The following is a 23158-nucleotide window of genomic DNA, read 5'->3' as shown; positions in this document are numbered from 1 at the left end:
TCCTACCTTGGCCTCCCAAAGTGCTGGGATTGCAGGTGTGAGCCACTGCACCCAGACAATATCCTTTCCTTTCCTATCCAAATAAGAATAATCTATCCTCATCTTGTTGTTTGTGGGGAATCTTTTCCCCTACTCAATTATTTCTGAAAATCTCACAAGTCTCTCTGCTGTTGTTTTCTCTCTTCCCCAGGCAGAGTGTTCACTCCTCTTAGGCTGCTTACTTCAGCTGCTCAGCTGGGTTCCCTGCTCAGTTGTACTCCATGTGGGGAGAGAGGTTCCTTTATGCCATGGTCTGCATGTGTCCCCCAAAATTCATGTATTAGAAACTTCATCCCCAATGCAAGAGTGTTGGGAGGTGGGGCCTAACAAAAGGTACTTGGAATGAATTAGTGCTGCTCCAAGAAGGACTTGAGAGAGGGCATTCACCCCTTTCTGTTCTTCTGCCATGTGAGGACAACATATTCATGCTCTCTTGCCCTTCTGCCTTCCAATATGTGAAGACACAGTAAGAAGGCCCACACCAGATATCAGCACCTTGATCTTGGACTTCCCAGCCTTCAGGACTCTGAGAAAGTACATTTCTGTTCTTTATCAATTACCCAGGTCAATTATTATCTTATAGCAGCAATAATGGACTGAGGCACTCTAGTCACAAAACCATTGCTTATATGAGGCTACTTTCTTTGTTTAAGGGATGCATGCTAAACCCTGAGGAGAGCATAAGAGGGGCACATTACTGAAAAGAAACTGAAGTCTGCTTACCAGATGTCCCTGCTCCTCAAATCTCTTGGCCGTGCGATTGGGCATTGTTTCACCAGTGTACTCACCTAAGAACACAGCAGCATGTCACCAATGTACTCGCCCAAGAATACAGCAGCATGTCCTCAGCATTCTCACCCAAGAATACAGCAACATGTCACCAGCGTACTCGCCCAAGAATACAGCAACATGTCACCAGCGTACTCACCCAAGAATACAGCAACATGTCACCAGCGTACTGGCCCAAGAATACAGCAACATGTCACCAGCGTACTCGCCCAAGAATACGGCAACATGTCACCAGCGTACTCGCCCAAGAATACGGCAACATGTCACCAGCGTACTGGCCCAAGAATACGGCAACATGTCACCAGCGTACTCGCCCAAGAATACGGCAACGTGTCACCAGCGTACTCGCCCAAGAATACGGCAACGTGTCACCAGCGTACTCGCCCAAGAATACGGCAACGTGTCACCAGCGTACTCGCCCAAGAATACGGCAACGTGTCACCAGCCTACTGGCCCAAGAATACGGCAACGTGTCACCAGCGTACTCGCCCAAGAATACGGCAACGTGTCACCAGCGTACTCGCCCAAGAATACGGCAACGTGTCACCAGCGTACTCGCCCAAGAATACGGCAACATGTCACTAGTGTACTCGCCCAAGAATACAGCAACATGTACTCGCCCAAGAATACAGCAACATGTCACCAGCGTACTCGCCCAAGAATACAGCAACATGTCACGAGTGTACTCGCCCAAGAATACAGCAACATGTCACTAGTGTACTCGCCCAAGAATACAGCAACATGTCACTAGTGTACTCGCCCAAGAATACAGCAACATGTACTCGCCCAAGAATACAGCAACATGTCACCAGCGTACTCGCCCAAGAATATGGCAACATGTCACGAGTGTACTCGCCCAAGAACACAGCAACATGTCACTAGTGTACTCGCCCAAGAATACAGCAACATGTCACTAGTGTACTCGCCCAAGAATACAGCAACATGTACTCGCCCAAGAATACAGCAACATGTCACCAGCGTACTCGCCCAAGAATACGGCAACATGTCACGAGTGTACTCGCCCAAGAATACAGCAACATGTCACGAGTGTACTCGCTCAAGAATACAGCAACATGTCACTAGTGTACTCGCCCAAGAATACAGCAACATGTACTCGCCCAAGAATACAGCAACATGTCACCAGTGTACTCGCCCAAGAATACAGCAACATGTCACGAGTGTACTCGCCCAAGAATACAGCAACATGTCACCAGTGTACTCACCCAAGCATACAGCAACATGTCACCAGTGTACTCACCCAAGAATACAGCAACATGTCACGAGTGTACTCGCCCAAGAATACAGCAACATATCACCAGTGTACTTACCCAAGAATACAGCAACACGTCATCAATGCACTCACCCAAGAATACAGCAACATGTCACCAGCGTACTCGCCCAAGAATACAGCATCATGTCACCAGCATACTGGCCTAAGAATACAGCAACATGTCACCAGCGTACTCACCCAATCATACAGCAACATGTCACCAGCGTACTCGCCCAAGAATACAGCAACAGGTCACCAGTGTACTCACCCAAGAATACAGCAACATGTCACCAGTGTACTCGCCCAAGAATACAGCAACATGTCACCAGCATACTCACCCAAGAATACAGCAACATGTCACCAGTGTACTCACCCAAGCATACAGCAACATGTCACCAGTGTACTCACCCAAGCATACAGCAACATGTCACAGCATACTCACCCAAGCATACAGCAACATGTCACCAGTGTACTCACCCAAGCATACAGCAACATGTCACAGTGTACTCACCCAAGCATACAGCAACACGTCACCAGTGTACTCGACCAAGAATACAGCATCATGTCACCAGTGTACTCACCTGCAGAAATCCTTGAGGAGATGCTCTACCAAGATAAGAATCAGAAGAGCCCTCAAGAGGTGACTGAACTCTGTTGAAAACAGCGGGTGTGTTGTGCAGTTTCCAAGTAATTCACCTAAAACAAAGTGATAGAGACACGTTGAACATAAAAAGGGAGACGGATAACAGCAAAAATAAATAAAATAAAATGAAATGACCAGAAAGGAAAAGAAAAGGACAGACAGCAGCAAGTTGGCAGTTGGGATTTAGGGCCAAAGCACCAAACACCAAACAGGCCAAATACAGTGGCTCATGCCTGCAATCTCAGGGTGCCTGTAATCCAGGGAGGCCAAGGCAGGAGGATCACTTGAGGCCAGGAGTTCAAGACCAGCTTTGGCAATATAGGAAGATATCATCTCTAGAAAAAAAAAATTGTTTTAAATTAGCCAGGCATACTGGTGCACACCGGTAGTTCCAGCTACTCAGGAGGCTTAGGTGGGAAAATCATTGAGCCTGGGAAATCGAGTCTGCAGTGAGCCATGAAATAAAAATTAACACATATCATAAAAATAAAAGACTATGGAGGGAGAGTTAAAGATCTCACTTTCAGAATTGGGTACATCTTTAGACACAAAAAATGTAAGGATAGAAAGGAATCGAGTAAGAAAACTGACAAGCCCAAGTGTTCAGTTTGGGAACTGGTCCCAGAGAATGGGTAATGTCTTCCCCTCACCGCCAGCCCATCCCACTCTGTCTTCTCCAGAGCCTTCATCTCTGTTTCCATTATGTGCTGTCTGGTATGCCTTGCCAACCTCTTCCCAATTTCTTCATGATTTTAGCTTCTGGCTCGTGACTACTTTTTCCAACACAATTTCTAGGTTAATTTTTAGTGATTTCCACACACAAGTAAATGATCCTTCCCCACCTCTCATCCCTGTGGTGATATCTGTGACCTTGTTCTCAGCAGGGCACCCCACTGGGGTCTGTCCCATGCACCCCGCTTCCAGCCACCCTCCTTTTTCTAGCTCTCTTTCTCCAATGCTTTGATCTCACCAGAACTCTCTGTCCATCAGTACAACCACGGCTTCACTGCTCCCCAACCTCTCTGACACCTCTTCTTTTTTTTGGTAACAGCTTTATTGAGATACAATTCATATGCCACACAATTAGCCCGCTTAAGGTATACAATTCAATGCTTTTAACGTATTCACAGCGCTGTGCACCCGTCACCATAATCAGTTATAGAACGTTTCATCGCCTCAGAAGGAAAGCTCACACCCTTTAGTACCCCCCAACTCACTCCCCCACAGGATGGTTCTCCAGGCGGCATCAGAGCTCCGCAGTTCTCCCAGTGTCTCACTTATACCGTTCTCAGGCCAAGGTCAAGACCCCTGACTTAGTTCCTTCTTAGCTAATCTGATCCCTGCACTGCCAGCTGTGCCATTCCGGGCAAGTTATTCATACTTAACTCCTCTGTGCCTGTGACATGAAAAACACGCAGCTGCCTTGAGGATTAAAGTCACTATCAAGAAGTGCCGGAAACGTCTCCAGCAGGGACCCCGCGAAACAGACACAACCCCCTTCTCTGCCACACCCAGTTCCAGAGCCACCCTGGCTGCAGTACTTAGGGGCCCAGGGAATCCTGTGTGACAGGCTAAAGTGTGTGCCCCACACTGCGTGGAAGGCCTGGTCCCCAATCCCTCAGGACGGGGCCTGATTTGAAGGTGGGGCCATTGAACAGGTCTTTCAGTTTAAATGATATCCCCAGGGTGGGCCTGATCCCGACTCACTGGGATCCGCATGGGGAGAGGAGACAGACCCGCAGAGGGCGGCCCGAGGGGGCGCAGGAGACACCCGCCCCCAGCCCAGGAGGGGCCTGGGAAGGAAGCAAACCCTGAGACTCCCTGACCTTGGGCCTCCGCGCCCCCAACAGAGGAAACCAATGTCTGTGGCTGAAGCCTTGGAGCCGCCCCATCTGTGCCGCCCCGAGACTGCGGCCCCCCGGCGACAGAGCTGAGGGTCCGGCAGCGGCCCCAGGAGCCCCCAGAGCCGCGACCCCACCGTGAGGGGATGGGAGGGAGTCGGGTCCCACCCGCCGTCCACCAGGTCCCTGCCCCACAGCTTCCCTGGGAGGAAGGAGACGAGGCCCCGAGGAGGCTGCAGGCCCGGGTTCCAGGGCGGTGCCGGGCAGGTTCCTCAAGCCCGGGGGTTCCCAGAACCGACCGGGGGCTGGCGGAACCTTCGTGGGTTACCCCCTAAAAACCAGCCCACGCTCCGCTTCTCGGGGACCCTCCCCACAGGAAGCAGCCCTGAGATGGGGGGGCCCTGCCCTGTGCCACCCCCACGGGAAGCCCCCAGGAGTGGCGCTGACAAGCCGGACCCATCAGGGGACGCCCCCCACCCCGCCCCCAGACAGACACTGAGACCCAGATGGCCACCCTGTTCCTCATTCATTCATTCACTCACTCATTCATTCCCCACCAGAGGACCCCAGGTGCCGCGCAGTCCCTGGAGATCCAGAAGAAAAGGAGAAACCGAGGCTGCCCGGGGGCTTCAGGCTGGCGCGGGGAGGGGAGGACGCGGGCCCTGCACAGGTGGATGCTCCGAGGAACTGGCCGCAGGAGGCGCCGCCAAGCAGGTAAAGCGGGCAAGGGCGCTTCTGAGAGCCTGGGGGTCTTTCTCTTGCTGCCTTCAGGAGCTCTTCTGTCTCATTCTCTTAAACCTTCTACAGACTCCGCTTCCTGTTTAGTGATCTTCCTTTATAAAGGTCACAGTGAAAATCAGAGTCCTCCTCCTGGCGAGTAAAGGCCTGTATGGTTCTCACTGCTTGCTGGGCCACTGCTTTTGGGAACACGCTTGCACCTGCCTATGTTTGAGGAACTCTGTGCGAAATATTTTCTAATTTCCTTTTTTGCATCGTGTCTGAAGTGTGCGAGAGGCGTGGTGATGGTGTTTGGTTCAGAAATCCCAGAAGTCCTGTAAACAGATATTGTGTGTTCTGCTTTATGATTTCGTATGCTTCAGAGGTTTCTAATGGGAGTCTACAGAAATTTATACTCAGTAATTTTCTCCAAACACTAAGCATCTGCCCAAATATAAGATAATCTAGTTATTTTACTTCAAAATTTTATTTTTTTTAGTATGAACTGAGGTTGGTCATTTAAACGCTATATTCCCCAGTGCCCAACTGTAATACAGTTATAATATTATCATTTTATAATTTTCTCTTTTTTAGTATGAAGCTTACCTGGAATGTGTCATTTATATGTATGTATGTATGTATGTGTGCATATGTATATATATGTGTGTATATCATATGTCACATGAATATATATGTGTGTATCATATATCAACATATCCTGTTGAAATAACAGGATTTCACTTTTTTTTTTTTTAAGACAGTCTCGCTCTGTTGCCCAGGCTGGAGTGCAGTGGCATGATCTCAGCTCACTGCAACCTCCGCCTCCTGGGTTCAAACAATTCTCCTGCCTCAGCCTCCTGAGTAGCTGGGATTACAGGCACATGCTACTACGCCTGGCTAATTTTTGTATTTTTGGTAGAGATGGGGTTTCACCATATTGGCCAGACTGGTCTCGAACTCCTGACCTCAGGTGATCTGCCTGTCTCAGCCTCCCAAAGTGCTGGGATTACAGGCGTGAGCCACCACACCTGGCCAATTTCATTCTTTTGTATGGCTGAGTAATATTTTATTGTCTATTTATATCATATTTTCTTTATCCATTCAGCATCCACAAACATTTAGCTTGTCTTTATACCTTGGCAATTGTGAATATTGTTTCAGTGACCATGGCGTGGGGCAGGGGGGCAGATAATTCTTCAAGATGCTGCTTTTATTCCCTTCAGTTACACACACAGAAGTGGAATTGCTGCATTGTAGGGTAGGTTGTTTTTTTAAATTTTTAAATAACCTCCCTCCCAGTTTTCATAATGACTCTACCAATTTTGAACTCTGACTGTTCAAAATTGTTTTTTCCTAACATCTTTGTCAACATTGTTATATTACTTATTTTTTAATTTTATTATTACACTTTTTAGGGTACATGTGCACAATGTGCAGGTTTGTTACATATGTATACATGTGCCATGTTGGTGTGCTGCACCCATTAACTCGTCATTTAGCATTAGGTATATCTTCTAATGCTATCCCTCCCCCCTCCCCCCACACCACAACAGTCCCCGGAGTGTGATGTTCCCCTTCCTGTGTCCATGTGTTCTCATTGTTCAATTCCCACCTATGAGTGAGAACATGCGGTGTTTGGTTTTTTGTCCTTGCGATAGTTTGCTGAGAATAATGGTTTCCAGTTTCATCTATGTCCCTACAAAGGACATGAACTCTTCATTTTTTATGGCTGCATAGTATTCCATGGTGTATATGTGCCACATTTTCTTAATCCAGTCTATCGTTGTTGGACATTTGGGTTGGTTCCAAGTCTTTGCTATTGTGAATAGTGCCACAATAAACATACGTGTGCATGTGTCTTTATAGCAGCATGATTTATAATCCTTTGGGTATATACCCAGTAATGGGATGGCTGGGTCAAATGGTATTTCTAGTTCTAGATCCCTGAGGAATTGCCACAGTGACTTCCACAATGGTTTAACTAGTTTACAGTCCCACCAACAGTGTAAAAGTGTTCCTATTTCTCCACATCTTCTCCAGCACCTGTTGTTTCCTGACTTTTTAATGATCGCCATTCTGACTGGTGTGAGATGGTATCTCATTGTGGTTTTGATTTGCATTTCTCTGATGGCCAGTGATGATGAGCATTTTTTCATGTGTTTTTTGGCTGCATAAATGTCTTCTTTTGAGAAGTGTCTGTTCATATCCTTTGCCCACTTTTTGAGGGGGTTGTTTTTTTTCTTGTAAATTTGTTTGAGTTCATTGTAGATTCTGGATATTAGCCCTTTGTCAGATGAGTAGGTTGTGAAAATTTTCTCCCATTTTGTAGGTTGCCTGTTCACTCTGATGGTAGTTTCTTTTGCTGTGCAGAAGCTCTTTAGTTTAATTAGATCCCATTTGTCAATTTTGGCTTCTGTTGCCATTGCTTTTGGTGTTTTAGACATGAAGTCCTTGCCCATGCCTATGTCCTGAATGGTATTGCCTGGGTTTTCTTCTAGGGTTATTATGGTTTTAGGTCTAACATTTAAGTCTTTAATCCATCTTGAATTAATTTTTGTATAAGGTGTAAGGAAGGGATCCAGTTTCAGCTTTCTCCATATGGCTAGCCAGGCCAGTTTTCCCAGCACCATTTATTAAATAGGGAATCCTTTCTCCATTGCTTGTTTTTGTCAGGTTTGTCAAAGATCAGATGGTTGTAGATATGCGGCATTATTTCTGAGGGCTCTGTTCTGTTCCATTGATCTATATCTCTGTTTTGGTACCAGTACCATACTGTTTTGGTTACTGTAGACTTGTAGTATAGTTTGAAGTCAGGTACCGTGATGCCTCTGGCTTTGTTCTTTTGGGTTAGGATTGACTTGGCAATGCGGGCTCTTTTTTGGTTCCATATGAACTTTAAAGTAGTTTTTTCCAATTCTGTGAAGAAAGGCATTGGTAGCTTGATGGGGATGGCATTGAATCTATACATTACCTTGGGCAGTGTGGCCATTTTCATGATATTGATTCTTCCTACCCATGAGCATGGAAAGTTCTTCCATTTGTTTGTATCCTCTTTTATTTCCTTGAGCAGTGGTTTGTAGTTCTCCTTGAAGAGGTCCTTCACATCCCTTGTAAGTTGGATTCCTAGGTATTTTATTCTCTTTGAAGCAATTGTGAATGGGAGTTCACTCATGATTTGGCTCTCTGTTTGTTATTGGTGTATAACAATGCTTGTGATTTTTGTACATTGATTTTGTATCCTGAGACTTTGCTGAAGTTGCTTATCAGCTTAAGGAGATTTTGGGCTGAGACAATGGGGTTTTCTAGATACACAATCATGTCATCTGCAAACAGGGACAATTTGACCTCCTCTTTTCCTAACTGAATACCCTTTATTTCCTTCTCCTGCCTAATTGCCCTGGCCAGAACTTCCAAAACTATGTTGAATAGGAGTGGTGAGAGAGGGCATCCCTGTCTTGTGCCAGTTTTCAAAGGGAATGCTTCCAGTTTTTGCTCATTCAGTATGATATTGGCTGTGGGTTTGTCATAGATAGCTCTTATTATTTTGAGATATGTCCCACCATCAATACCTAATTTATTGAGAGTTTTTAGCATGAAGCGTTGTTGAATTTTGTCAAAGGCCTTTTCTGCATCTATTGAGATAATCATGTGGGTTTTGTCTTTGGTTCTGTTTATATGCTGGATTACATGTATTGATTTGTGTATGTTGAACCAGCCTTGCATCCCAGGGATGAAGCCCACTTGATCATGGTGGATAAGCTTTTTGATGTGCTGCTGGATTCGGTTTGCCGGTATTTTATTGAGGATTTTTGCATCAATGTTCATCAAGGATATTGGCCAAAAATTCTCTTTTTTGGTTGTGTCTCTGCCAGGCTTTGGTATCAGGATGATGCTGGCCTCATAAAATGCGTTAGGGAGGATTCCCTCTTTTTCTATTGATTGGAATAGTTTCAGAAGGAATGGTACCAGCTCCTCCTTGTACCTCTGGTAGAATTCGGCTGTGAATCCATCTGGTCCTGCACTTTTTTTGATTCGTAAGCTATTGATTATTGCCACAATTTCAGAGCCTGTTATTGGTCTATTCAGAGATTCAACTTCTTCCTGGTTTAGTCTTGGGAGGGTGTATGTGTTGAGGAATTTATCCATTTCTTCTAGATTTTCTAGTTTATTTGCGTAGAGGTGTTTGTAGTATTCTCTGATGGTAGTTTGTATTTCTGTGGGATCGGTGGTGATATCCCCTTTATCATTTTTTATTGTGTCTATTTGATTCTTCTCTCTTTTCTCCTTTATTAGTCTTGCTAGCAGTCTATCGATTTTGCTGATCTTTTCAAAAAACCAGCTCCTGGATTCATTAATTTTTTGAAGGGTTTTTTGTGTCTCTATTTCCTTCAGTTCTGCTCTGATTTTAGTTATTTCTTGCCTTCTGCTAGCTTTTGAATGTGTTTGCTCTTGCTTTTCTAGTTCTTTTAATTGTGATGTTAGGGTGTCAATTTTGGATCCTTCCTGCTTTCTCTTGTGGGCATTTAGTGCTATAAACTTCCCTCTACACACTGCTTTGAATGTGTCCCAGAGATTCTGGTATGTTGTGTCTTTGTTCTCCTTGGTTTCAAAGAACATCTTTATTTCTGCCTTCATTTTGTTATGTACCCAGTAGTCATTCAGGAGCAGGTTGTTGAGTTTCCATGTAGTTGAGCGGTTTTGAGTGAGTTTCTTAGTCCTGAGTTCTAGTTTGATGCACTGTGGTCTGAGAGACAGTTTGTTATAATCTCTGTTCTTTTACATTTACTGAGGAGTGCTTTACTTCCAACTATGTGGTCAATTTTGGAATAGGTGTGGTGTGGTGCTGAAAAAAATGTATATTCTGTTGATTTGGGGTGGAGAGTTCTGTAGATGTCTATTAGGTCTGCTTGGTGCAGAGCTGAGTTCAATTCCTGGGTATCCTTGTTAACTTTCTGTCTCGTTGATCTGTCTAATGTTAACAGTGGGGTGTTAAAGTCTCCCATTATTATTGTGTGGGAGTCTAAGTCTCTTTGTAGGTCACTAAGGACTTGCTTTATGATGCTTTATGAATCTGGGTGCTCCTGTATTGGGTGCATATATATTTAGGATAGTTAGCTCTTCTTGTTGAATTGATCCCTTTACCATTATGTAATGGCCTCTTTGTCTCTTTTGAACTTTGTTGGTTTAAAGTCTGTTTTATCAGAGACTAGGATTGCAACCCCTGCCTTTTTTTGTTTTCCATTTGCTTGGTAGATCTTCCTCCATCCCTTTATTTTGAGCCTATGTGTGTCTCTGCACGTGAGATGGGTTTCCTGAATACAGCACACTGATGGGTCTTGACTCTTTATCCAATTTGCCAGTCTGTGTCTTTTAATTGGAGCATTTAGCCCATTTACATTTAAAGTTAATATTATTATGTGTGTATTTGGTCCTGTCATTATGATGTTAGCTGGTTATTTTGCTCGTTAGTTGATGCAGTTTCTTCCTAGCCTTGATGGTCTTTATATTTTGGCATGTTTTTGCAGTGGCTAGTACTGGTTGTTCCTTTCCATGTTTAGCGCTTCCTTCAGGAGCTCTTTTAGGGCAGGCCTGGTAGTGACAAAATCTCTCAGCATTTGCTTGTCTGTAAAGTATTTTATTTCTCCTTCACTTATGAAGCTTAGTTTGGCTGGATATGAAATTCTGGGTTGAAAATTCTTTTCTTTAAGAATGTTGAATATTGGCCCTCACTCTATTCTGGCTTGTGGAGTTTCTGCCGAGAGATCTGCTGTTAGTCTGACGGGCTTCCCTTTGTGGGTAACTCGACCTTTCTCTCTGGCTGCCCTTAACATTTTTTCCTTCATTTCAACTTTGGTGAATCTGACAATTATGTGTCTTGGAGTTGCTCTTCTCAAGGAGTATCTTTGTGGCGTTCTCTGTATTTCCTGAATCTGAAAGTTGGCCTGCCTTGCTAGATTGGGGAAGTTCTCCTGGAAAATATCCTGCAGAGTGTTTTCCAACTTGGTTCCATTCTCCCCGTCACTTTCAGGTACACCAATCAGATGTAGATTTGGTCTTTTCACATAGTCCCATATTTCTTGGAGGCTTTGTTCATTTCTTTTTATTCCTTTTTCTCTAAACTTCCCTTCTCACTTCATTTCATTAATTTCATCTTCCATCACTGATACCCTTTCTTCCAGTTGATCACATCAGCTCCTGAGGCTTCTGCATTCTTCACGTAGTTCTCAAGCCTTGGCTTTCAGCTCCATCAGCTCCTTTTAGGACTTCTCTGCATTGGTTATTCTAGTTATCCATTCGTCTAATTTTTTTTTCAAAGTTTTTAACTTCTTTGCCATTGGTTTGAATTTCCTCCTGTAGCTCGGAGTAGTTTGATCGTCTGAAGCCTTCTTCTCTCAGCTCATCAAAGTCATTCTCTGTCCACTTTGTTCTGTTGCTGGTGAGGAGCTGTGTTCCTTTGGAGGAGGAGAAGCGCTCTGCTTTTTAGTTTCCAGTTTTTCTGCTCTGTTTTTTCCCCATCTTTGTGGTTTTGTCTACTTTTGGTCTTTGATGATGGTGATGTACAGAAGGGTTTTTGGTGTGGATGTCCTTTCTGTTTGTTAGTTTTCCTTCTAACAGACAGGACCCTCAGCTGCAGGTCTGTTGGAGTTTGCTAGAGGTCCACTCCAGACCCTGCTTGCCTGGGTATCAGCAGCGGTGGCTGTAGAACAGCAGATCTTGGTGAACCGCAAATGCTGCTGCCTGATCATTCCTCTGGAAGTTTTGTCTCAGAGGAGTACCCGGCTGTGTGAGGTGTCAGTCTGCCCCTAATGGGGGGTGCCTCCCAGTTAGGCTGCTCAGGGGTCAAGGACCCACTTGAGGAGGCAGTCTGCCCATTCTCAGATCTCCAGCTGCATGTTGGGAGAACCACTACTCTCTTCAAAGCTGTCAGACAGGGACATTTAAGTCTGCAGAGGTAACTGCTGTCTTTTTGTTTGTCTGTGCCCTGCCCCCAGAGGTGGAGTCTACAGAGGCAGGCAAGCCTCCTTGAGCTGTGGTGGGCTCCACCCAGTTTGAGCTTCCCAGCTGCTTTGTTTACCTAATCAAGCCTGGGCAATGGCAGGCGCCCCTCCCCCAGCCTTGCTGCCACCTTGCAGTTTGATCTCAGACTGCTGTAATAGCAATCAGCAAGACTCCATGGGCGTAGGACCCTCCGAGCCAGGTGCAGGATATAATCTCCTGGTGTGCCGTTTTTTAAGCCCATTGGAAAAGCGCAGTATTAGGGTGGGAGTGACCTGATTTTCCAGGTGCCATCTGTCACCCCTTTCTTTGACTAGGAAAGGGAACTCCCTGACCCCTTGCACTTCTCCAGTGAGGCAATGCCTCGCCCTGCTTCGGCTCACACACGGTGTGCTGCACCCACTGTCCTACACCCACTGTCTGGCACTCCCTAGTGAGATGAACCCGGTGCCTCAGATGGAAATGCAGAAATCACCTGTCTTCTGCATCACTCATGCTGGGAGCTGTAGACCGGAGCTGTTCCTATTCAGCCATCTTGGCTGAACCAGGCCATCTTGGATCCACCCAAGTATTTTCTGGGTCTGGAGGGTCCTGGTTCTCTTATGGACTCAGCGATGTGAAGTCATAGAATGCTGAGGTGTGGTTAAACTTTGGTTTGATCTCATCCTCAGCCCGAACACCTTCCCCTCTCCCAAGGCAGCAGTGAAGGGATGGTTCATGGATACGACCTAGGGGAAGGAACAGGGACCCTGACAGTGTGTGCTTCCGGATTTCTGTCTCCGGAACTTGACTGCTCCTCACAACACATAAGGCAAAACTGTCATAAATGTAAGGAAAGAATTTTTCTACTGGAGGCTAGGGACTTCAGGTTGCCATGTTTTGAAGCCTCCTGAAAACTCTAAGGTAGACATCCACTTCTGGAAAAACAGTGAACCCGGTATGTTTCTGGCTATGATTGAAAATTCTTGGTAAAAACAGACATCTGTTTAAGTGCATGGCTGTGTTTCCTGTAGCATTAGAGAAATTCCACGAGATTAGGAAGCATGAAGCCAGGGTGAATACTCTGAGGGATCTGGTAGTTCTAGGAACTTCGGGGCCTTGGATTTAAGAACTTCATGGTGAAGACTAAATCAATTGAATCTCAGCATAAAGCTGAGACATCGAACGGCTTCCCACTCCATGAAAGAGTTGCCTCGAGAGGTTCCGTATGTTGGTAACAGCAGAGGGCATTAAAATGAGTCTCTCTCAGTCTGGGAGCTGGATGGGAAAAAAAATCATGCCTGAAATTTCGCACCCACGTGCCGTTGTCACCTAGGTGAGGAGTTTACATTTTAATTCTCACAATCCCCAGGACACCCCTGTGCCTAGAGCCCTCGGGGTAATCCTTCCACTCTGGCTTTCTCCCCTCTATCTCTTTCTTGGGAAAATGTTTGCCCCATATTGAGTCAACACTGGAAGATCCACATTGGTTCATCTCTGATTTCCAACTTTTGAATTTGTCCTTACAATAAATTGAAGTTTCAGTGACTTGGTGCTTCAGGGACCCGTCCCCACTCTTCCCAAGGAGAACAAACCATGGTTACCATGAAGTACAATAGGTCACTAAAACGTATTCCTCCAGTCTAACTGAAACTTCATGCCCTTCTGTCAACATCTCCTGCTGGCCCCATCCCTGCTCCTCCCCACCTACCCATAGCCCCTGGTAACCACCTTTATACTTTTTCTATGAGACCAGCTTTTTAAGATTCCAGATATAAGTGAGGTCATACAATATTTGTCTTCCTGTGCCTGTCTTCTTTCACTTAGCATAATGCCCCACTAGTTATATCCACATTGTCATGAATGACAAAAATTCCTTCCTTTTAAAGGCTGTATAGTATTCCATTGTGTATATACACATTTTCTCTACCCATTCATCCATTGATAGACAGTTAGTTTGCTTCCATATCTTCGCTATTGTGAATAATGCTGAAATAAATGTGGGAGTGAATATATCTCTTCAGCAAATCAATGTCAGTTCCTTTGGATATATACCCAGAAGTGGAATTGCCAGATAATATGGTAATTCTATTTTTAGTTTTTGAGGAACCCCCATACTATTTTTTTAACAGCTGTACTAATTTACATTCCCATTAACAGTGTACAAGTGTTCCCTTTTTATCTACATCTTCATCAACACTTGTTATCTTTTGTCTTTTTGATAACAGTGATTCCAACAGGTGTGAGGTTATATCTCATTGTGGCTTTAATTTGCATTTTCCTGATTCTTAGAGATGTTGAGCATTTTTCATATATCTGTTGGCTATTCATATCTCTTCATTTGAGAACTGTTCAGATCCTTTGCTCATTTTTAATTGAATTGTTTTCTTGCTGTTAAGTTGGTTGAATTCCTTATATATTTTTGATATTCACACCTAATCAGATGTAAGGTTGAGAAATGATTGATGTTTGTGTGTCGATCTAAATCCTCAGACCTTGCTGAACTCACTGTTATTAGTTCTTGGGTTTTTGTTGTAGATTCCTTGAGATTTTATACATAGACTACTATGGTGTGTGCAAATATTTCTTCATTTCTCATCTGTATATCTTCTAGTTCTCTTGCCTTATTGCCCTGGCTAGAACTTCATTATGTTGAAGAGTGGTGAGAGTGGACACTTGTAATTGCTCCAAATGTTAGGGGAAAACATTCAGTTATCACCATTAAGCCTAAAATTGGCTATAGGTTTTTTGTAGATGATGAAGTGACACTCTAATCCTAGTTTGCTGAGTTTTTTAAAAATTATGAACAGGTGGTAAAAATTTCCAAATGCTTTCTTTGTGTCCCAATTGATGCAATTGTGTGAGTTTTCTTCTACAGCCTGTTAGCACAGTGGATCACATTGATTTACTTCCAAATGTGGAGCTAGTCTTACATGCTTGGAATAAACTCCACTTGGTCATGGTTTGTAATTCTTTAATATATTGCTGGATTCTATTTGCTTTCTTTTGTTGAAGATTTTGTGTCTATGTTCATGAGGGGCATTGGTTATTTCTTTTTTTGTATTGTCGTTGTCTGGTTTTGCTATCAGGGTAATACTGGCCCCTTAAAATGAATTTGGAAGGGTTCTCTTCTCCACTATTTTCCAGAGATTATGTAGAATTGGTGTTCAGTCTTTAAAAATTTGGTAATTCTCTGCATCTGAAAATTTAAAATTCCAACTTTCTTTTGGCATTTTAAAACTACACATTCAATTCCCCTAATAATTATAGAGCTATCCAAATTATCTATTTTGTCCTGGCTGAATGTTGGTAGTTTGTGCTTTTTGAGGAGTTGGTCTGCTTCACATAAGCTGTTGAATTTCTATGTGTAGAGTTGCTTGCACCGTTTGCTCATTATCCGGTTCATGTCTGTGGGGTCTGTAGTGATATCCCCAAACTTGGTATCCATTCCTGAAGCTTATAGTTTGTATCCTTGTATCCTCTCTTTTTTTTCTTTGTTGGTCTAGCAAGAGGTTTGTTAATTTTACTGATTTTTTTTAAAGAACTAGATTTTTGTCTCATTTATTTTCTCTATTTTTTGTCTCTAATTTCACTGATTTCTGTTCTTATCTGGATTTTTTTCTTCTTCTGCTTATGTTGGGTTTGATATTTTGAATATATTTTTATAGCTTTGTATGTATTATGATTTATATTACATTTTAAGTATATTTTTATAGAGTTCCTAGTGATCTTTTATTGAATACCAGATAAAGAGTATAAAAAACTGAGAAAGGTTTTGAGTGATGTTACTTTCTTGCAGAGACCATTTGTTTTCCTTCTGCGAAACAGTTAGACAAGCAGCAGATCACATTGATCCAGTGAGGCAGTAAGATAAGAGGCCAGGCTTTATTCTTTGTGAAGGAGTCTCTATTTCTGGCCTGTACTTCTCCCAGTATATAGTCTTGAGGGGTTTCAATAGAAAGCCTTAAGTTTTTACCAAGCCCTTTCTTATTAATCCTAAAATTAAATATTTATTTTCCAGAGCTACAAAACCTCCATAATCTCTGTTTTGCTTTAAAGGCTCTTCATGGATGCTTTTTGCTTAGCTCCTTGTCCTCTTTCCCCAGGCAGTTTCATAATCTTCAAGGGAAGAGGAGCTGCTGCACACTGGACTCACTTCTCTGAGCTCTTCTTTTCCCTGGAAGCTTTGCCCTGCAAGCTCTGGCTGCCTTTGTCACCCTAAAGTCTGATTTTCGGAAGGAACTGCCAATGCCTCAGCTGCTTTCTGCTTGTGCTCTTGTTCTCTCTGTCGCTAACGAATGGGCAGAGGCCCCACGGGAGGAGAGTGGAGCGCTGGCACCTGATGCATTCATTTCCCTTCTCACCAGGATCCAGGCACCTCCTGTCCTGGACACCTGGGTTTCTCTCTAGTGCTTTCAACTGCTGTTTTGTGTTAATTTTTTCTGGCTTTCCTACTTGTTCTCAGTGATTCTGTAGCTCAAATATGAGCTGTTCCATCAGAACCAGAAGAGGAGTCGCAATACGTATTTGAAAAATACACGAATAAATTATCTGCAAATTAAAAATAATCAGCTCTCCAGGAGTAGCTTCTATGGTGGGTGATGGCGACTATCTGAGGCTGGTGTCACAGGGGTAAAAGAGTTTACCAAGAAACTTGTAGGTTTTAAAAAAAGGCAGATTTATTAAAGAAAGGAAGGAAGTACATTGCAAGAAGGCAATGGGCAGGCCAGGAGAAGAGGAGCTGACTGCAAGGAGACAAAGGCTTGCAGGGGATTTTACAGGATGGTTCCTGGGCCATGTGCTGAAGAGGGCTGCATACAATACCTACAATGCCAAGGTTGCAGTGAGCTAACTTGCATTTTTCTATCAGCTGAGGGTCTGGTGATACCTGGGCATGGGAAGATTGTGAGCTATATGCACAGGAGGGCTGTGTGTGCTGGACTGTGAAGAAATGCAGACTTGTAGCTTATCTGCTTTCTCTTTTTGCTTTCCCTTGGTCCTGCCACCCTGGCTCCTTTTCCCTGATTAGGACGCCACAGCTTCCATGTGTTTTGATTTGTTAGATCTGACATGGGCCAATGAATTGTTTTTTCTTTAACTATATACAATCCTATTTTTCCCCTCATATAAGCCAATCCTAATGGAATAGAATCATCCTTTTCAAAAGCTTTTTACCAGAGGTCTCCACACCACTCCCAAGTACAGCCTCCCATGCCTCACTCAGCTACAACCTGGCAAAAATCTCCAGCCCTGCAGAGACTGAGTGGTGCATTGAGTCCCTGATTGCTGTTTTCCAGAAGGATCCTGGAGAGGATGGTTACAACTGCTCTCTCCAAGACGGAGTTCCTAAGCTTCATGAACACAGAAGAGGCTGCCGTCACAAAGAAGCAGAAGGACCGCAGTGTCCTTGACTGCATGACGAAAAGACTGGATGTCAACAGTAACAGGCAGCTAGATTTCCAAGAATTTCTTAATTCAAAATTGGCAGCCTGGCTGTGCATTGCCATGACTCCCTCCTCAAGGCTATCCCACCCTACAAGCAGACCTGAGGGCCCCTTCGGCCTGGCCTCCAAAGCCACCCCCTTTCCTTCCAGCTTCCTGTCACCATCTCCTCCTCACAGCCCACACGTCCCCTGAGCCCAGCACACCTACCTCCTCTGGCAGGCCCCGCCTGCGGGTAGAAATAAAACAGTTTTCACTCGCATCGGTGTGAAGAGACCACCAAACAGGCTTTGTGTGAGCAACAAGGCTGTTTATTTCACCTGGGTGCAGGCGGGCTGAGTCTGAAAAGAGTCAGCGAAAGGAGATAGGGGTGGGGCCGTTTTATAAGATTTGGGTAGGTAAAGGAAAATTACAGTCAAAGGGGGGTTGTTCTCTGGCAGACAGGAGTGGAGGTCACAAGGTGCTCAGTAGGGGAGCTTTTGAGCCAGGATGAGCCAGGAGAAGGAATTTCACAAGATAGTGTCATCAGTTAAGGCAGGAACAGGCCATTTTCACTTCTTTTGTGGTGGAATGTCATCAGTTAAGGCAGGAACCGGCCATCTGGATGTGTACGTGCAGGTTACAGAGGACATGATGGCTTAGCTTGGGCTCAGAGGCCTGACAACGTCACATTTTTAAAACATGAAAAAAAAAAGCTTTTTATTAACTACTCTGCTTAATTCAACTCCTTACTTCATATGTAGAGTTGATATAGCTGAATGCCTGCTGGATAAGTCAATAAAGGAAACCCTGACACTGCCACTTTGCAATGATAAAATAACTCATCAAATTGAAGATTTAACTGCAAACATAAAAACTGAGTAAACACAGTCTCTTCACATACATTTGGACAAATCTACAGACATCGCTGAACTTCTGGTATTGCTCTAGCACCAGCCCCAGCTAATTATTGGAAAAGGGTTTCTTTATAAGTGAATGGTTGGCAACAAACCAAAGTGCTGTCATCTCATAAACCGGACACTGAAAAGATTTGCAAAACAAGTACAACAATGCCACTCTTCTCACTTAGATGTTTTGTTTTTAGAAAATTTATTTTTTTGTAAAAATATGCTATTTCATGTTAACATGCAATGGGCTTATTATTTTTAGTGACTTCCTAAAATAAATCTATTTTTAGATTTCTCAGTTTTAATTTCTCAGGTAGCAACTATCAACAGATAAAAGCCACATAAGCAAATGCTCTTAGGGGTTTTGAGACCAAAGTGTTTGAGAATCACTGTCCTAGAGTTTTAAAACATTGGAAAGGGGAGGGGAATGTGTACCCCTGTCATTAACAGTATCCAGCTGAGAGGGAGGCTCGGGCTGACTGACTCGGGGTTCTATTGGAACACAGCCAGGCCTGTCCATCATGTATTGTCTGAGGCTGCTTCCTGCTGTCATGGGAGAAACTTTTGGGCGGATGCTGCTGGGAGCCGGTCAGACTGGGCAGACTGGATGAGAACAGGAGGATGAGAATGAGCAAAGGCACCCACGAGGAGAACAGGAGGAAAACCCACGCGTTTGGGGGCGACTAGAAATGCGCAGTGAGCCTTGGGGTCCCCTGTGCTGCCCTCAGGCTGCGTTTGCCTTGAGTGAAATATTTTCTCCAAAAGGCAGAGGAGAGGACAAAGCCCCCTGTGCATCTCCATTCTCCACAGCATCCCCAGGATGGCAGGAGGAGGTCCCCGAGAACTGCACAAGCTGTGTTTGACCCAAGGGGACTTTTTCCTCTTGAGGAGGTTTGCTGGGTCATGTCAGTGATGAGGTTTAAGGACAGAGCCCAGGACCCTCAGCAGCCTGGATATGGCCAGACGGAGCTGGAAGCTTCTCACTGGCCGAGCTCTGGTCCCTTCCCCAAAACTGAAGGGTCATTACCCTATCCTAATCTCAGCTCGACTCATGCCAGGAGGACTCAGTAGTAGACTGTCCTACCACTGGGGGACACACTATTGTGTAACTGAGGGACACTAGGCTGTATCTGGGTGGACACTGCCCTGTTACTAGGGGACACTAGTGAGTAACTGGGGACACTGCCCTGTACTGGGGAACACTATCCTATTATCCTGTTACTGGGGGACTCCAGCTTATAACTTGGGGACACTATAATGGGGGACATTGCCCTGCAATTGGGGGACATTATCCTGTTACTGGGGGACACTATCTAGTAACTGGGGATACTACCTTATAATGGGGGGACAATACTGTATAACTGGGAGACACTATGAGGGGACATTGCCCTGTAATTGGGGGACACAGCCCAGTAACTGGGGAGACATTGCCCTATAACTGATGGACGTCACCCTATAACTGTGGGGACTTACCCTATAACTGGGGAGACATTCACCTATAACTGGGGGACATCACCCTATAACTGGGGGGACATTCACCTGTAACTGTGGGGACATCACCCTATAACTGTGGGGACATCACCCTATAACTGTGGGGACATCACCCTATAACTGGGGGACATTACCCTGTAACTGGGAGACATTACCTCATAACTGGGGACACTATAATGGGGGAACATTGCCTTATAACTGGGGACACTACCCTGTAACTTGGGGATACACTATGCTATGACTGGGGGGACACTGCCCTGTAACTGACGGGATGCTATCCTGTAACCAGAAGATACTAACCTATGACTGAGGGACAGTATCCTGTAACTGGGGACACTGCCCTGTAACTGGGGGACACCACCCTATAACTTGAAGGTTGGGGACCAGGGTCTGGTGCCCCTGAGCTCAGTTCCTGCAGGTGGGAAGTTTTGGAGCCTCCGAGGGTAATTCCACAGGATGGGGCTGCCTTCAGGGTCCCAGCCTCACCTGATCATCTTTCGGGTGACACACTCCCCACCCCGTTGCCACACATCTGGGGTGCAGGAGGCAGCCAGAAGCCTCCAGCTCCCATCCAAGGCCTAAGGAGAATCTCAGGTATCCTGCTGGGTGCTCCCTGAGAAGGTGTGGGGTGCCGGCCACCCCAGTGCACTCAGACCTATCCGGGCAGGGGGCATCCACGATGTGACGTGGGTAACAGACTCTGGAGGAAGTGACGGAGAAGACAACAACGGTGGTGACCACTCCGCCTGACAGCACCTGCCGAGTGCCCCCCACTCTCTACTATCCCGACAGCACCTGCCGGGTGCCCCCCACTTTCTGCTATCCCGACAGCACCTGCTGAGTGCCCCCTACTTTCTACTATCCCAACAGCACCTGCTGAGTGCCCCCCACTTTCTACTATCCCAACAGCACCTGCCGAGTGCCCGCCACTTTCTACTATCCAGACAGCACCTGCCGAGTGCCCCCCACTCTCTACTATCCCGACAGCACCTGCCGAGTGCCCCCCACTTTCTACTATCCCAACAGCACCTGCCGAGTGCCCCCCCCCCACTTTCTACTATCCAGACAGCACCTGCCGAGTGCCCCCCACTCTCTACTATCCCGACAGCACCTGCCGAGTGCCCCCCACTTTCTACTATCCAGACAGCACCTGCCGAGTGCCCCCCACTCTCTATCACAACAGCACCTGCTGAGTGCCCCCCACTTTCTACTATCCCAACAGCACCTGCCGAGTGCCCCCCACTTTCTGCTATCCAGACAGCACCTGCTGAGTGTCCCCCACTCTCTACTATCCCGACAGTACCTGCCGAGTGCCCCCCACTTTCTGCTATCCAGAGAGCACCTGCCGAGTGCCCCCACTCTCTACTATCTCGACAGCACCTGCCGAGTGCTCCCCACTTTCTACTATCCAGACAGCACCTGCCGAGTGCCCCCCACTTTCTACTATCCAGACAGCACCTGCCGAGTGTCCCCCACTTTCTGCTATCCCGACAGCACCTCCTGGGAAATTCACCCTCAGCTGTGGTCTGTGTCCCAGCCCGGGCCCTGGGTTTGGTGTGGGGCTCTAGGTGAGGCTGGGAAGCAGGAGTGTCCCAGGCAGAGGGGCCAGACATGGGGGAGAGAAAGAGCGGACACCCGGTGGGCAGCACAGATCCCAAACCCACTCCACTCCCCTGGAGGCTCTGGCCTGTGCACCCATCTTCGTCTCATCTTCACCCTGCAAGGATGGGAGGCTGAGACTCCCTGGGGCAACCCGGGAGAGAGGGTTCCAGGACCAAGGGGAGCTCTGGAGAGGACAGAAAAGCCGCTCCTCACCCCATTCCATAAAGAGACAAAGGTGCCCAGAATGGCATGAAGATCAGCAGGAAGGGGGACCCACAGTGCCACGCCCCTGCCCCACACCTGGCCCCATGCCTAGATGGGGTGGTTCTCCCACAGGACAGGAGTAAGGCCGACTGGTCCCCAGACTCCCAGGAAGAAAGCTCTGCAGGGACCATCTCCCCAGAACCTTCTGGAACCCAGGACAGGAAGGTGTGTGTGGGTGGGAGAGAAGGTCTTCTCTCCTTCATTTTCTGCTCATGACACCCCTCCCTTCCCGGGAGCTACTGTTCTTGTTCCTGCAGCAAAGATGCCACACGGGGCGGCGGTTGGAACCCTCCTACCCAGGCGGCTTCCTTCGGAGAATGCCAGACTTCGCGGGGAAGCGCACGCTGGCGGGAGGTCAAAATCATGTGCATTGGATTCCAGCCTCTTTTTAAGCCCAGGCTTTATTCCAGCCTCTTTTTGAGGAATTTGACTGAAAAGTTCCCTCCCTCTCGGCTGATGCGCCGTCCCATCCTGGGCTCCTAGTGTAGGGCTCCTACCCTTGGCTCCAGCAATGCTGATGATGAGGTGCTGGGGTCCCCGAGGACAGGAGGCCTCCAGGAAGGAACCGGCCTCAGTCCACGCCGTCCAGGGACTGTGGCTCTGCCCTCTCGAGCTGTAGCACCTGGAAAGAGAGGCCTGTGACACCACAGCCCCGCAAAGACGGACTGTGGGGCTGTTGAAACACTGGCACGCACCAAAAGCGGGTCACAAGTCCCAGAGGTGAAAAAGTAAATTACCAGAGTCCCCACCAGATGCTGGGCGTGTGTGCTGGAAAAGCCTGGAGGGGCGGGTCCAGATCACGCATAGCTGTCACTGCAGATGACAGCAGCGTCTCCACCTTTACCTGCAGCTGTCTCTGATGCTCCCACATGCGTCACTCTTTTGGCTGCATAGTGTCTGAACCCCCTTCCTGATCTGGGGGAGCCCGCCCCTGAGTACATCTTGGTGGGAGCCAAGCCCCCACCTCCCACTACAGAGGCCAGAGCTGGGGCAGCTCCCTCTCCTGCCCTGGGTGGCCAGATGACAGGGCCCATCACCCGAGGCTTGGCCACTCCACTGCCTGGTGACCCAGGGACACTGGGACTCAGGGATGGCAGAGCAGATTGGCATCCAGCCCAGGCTGGGTGTGGCGTGTGGGCTCCGTCCAGCCACAGCAGGGGATATAGGGCAGCAGCCACCTGGCCTGAGTCCCAGCTTT

At 46.5% G+C, this 23158-nt stretch overlaps 1 protein-coding gene and 1 pseudogene across 1 annotated transcript in view, besides 2 other annotated features; one reads left to right on the top strand and one right to left on the bottom strand.

Moving 5' to 3' along the window:
• Positions 1797–17823, top strand: S100A11P3 (S100A11 pseudogene 3; annotated as a pseudogene).
• Positions 17923–18513: an enhancer, noted in NCBI's record as "NANOG-H3K27ac-H3K4me1 hESC enhancer chr11:71216417-71217007 (GRCh37/hg19 assembly coordinates)". NCBI's record gives its function as "activates a minimal SCP1, AML or CMV promoter by ChIP-STARR-seq in naive H9 embryonic stem cells {active_cell/tissue: H9 hESC(naive)}" and the evidence as "EXISTENCE:reporter gene assay evidence [ECO:0000049][PMID:30033119]".
• The window catches only part of NADSYN1 (NAD synthetase 1), a 48614-nt gene continuing 47523 nt past the window's right edge, over positions 22068–23158 (bottom strand). Inside the window, exon 21 of the mRNA NM_018161.5 lies at positions 22068–22582. Within this exon, the coding sequence (NP_060631.2) occupies positions 22532–22582 (51 nt within the window). The 3' untranslated portion in view covers positions 22068–22531. The remainder of the gene's footprint in view (positions 22583–23158) is intronic.
• Positions 22454–23141: an enhancer, noted in NCBI's record as "H3K4me1 hESC enhancer chr11:71211789-71212476 (GRCh37/hg19 assembly coordinates)". NCBI's record gives its function as "activates a minimal SCP1, AML or CMV promoter by ChIP-STARR-seq in naive H9 embryonic stem cells {active_cell/tissue: H9 hESC(naive)}" and the evidence as "EXISTENCE:reporter gene assay evidence [ECO:0000049][PMID:30033119]".

Source organism: Homo sapiens, chromosome 11, assembly GCF_000001405.40.
Source record: "Homo sapiens chromosome 11, GRCh38.p14 Primary Assembly".
Lineage (NCBI taxonomy): Eukaryota > Metazoa > Chordata > Mammalia > Primates > Hominidae > Homo > Homo sapiens.
Note: the sequence above shows the minus strand (reverse complement) of the source record. Positions and strands in the feature narration are given on the sequence as shown.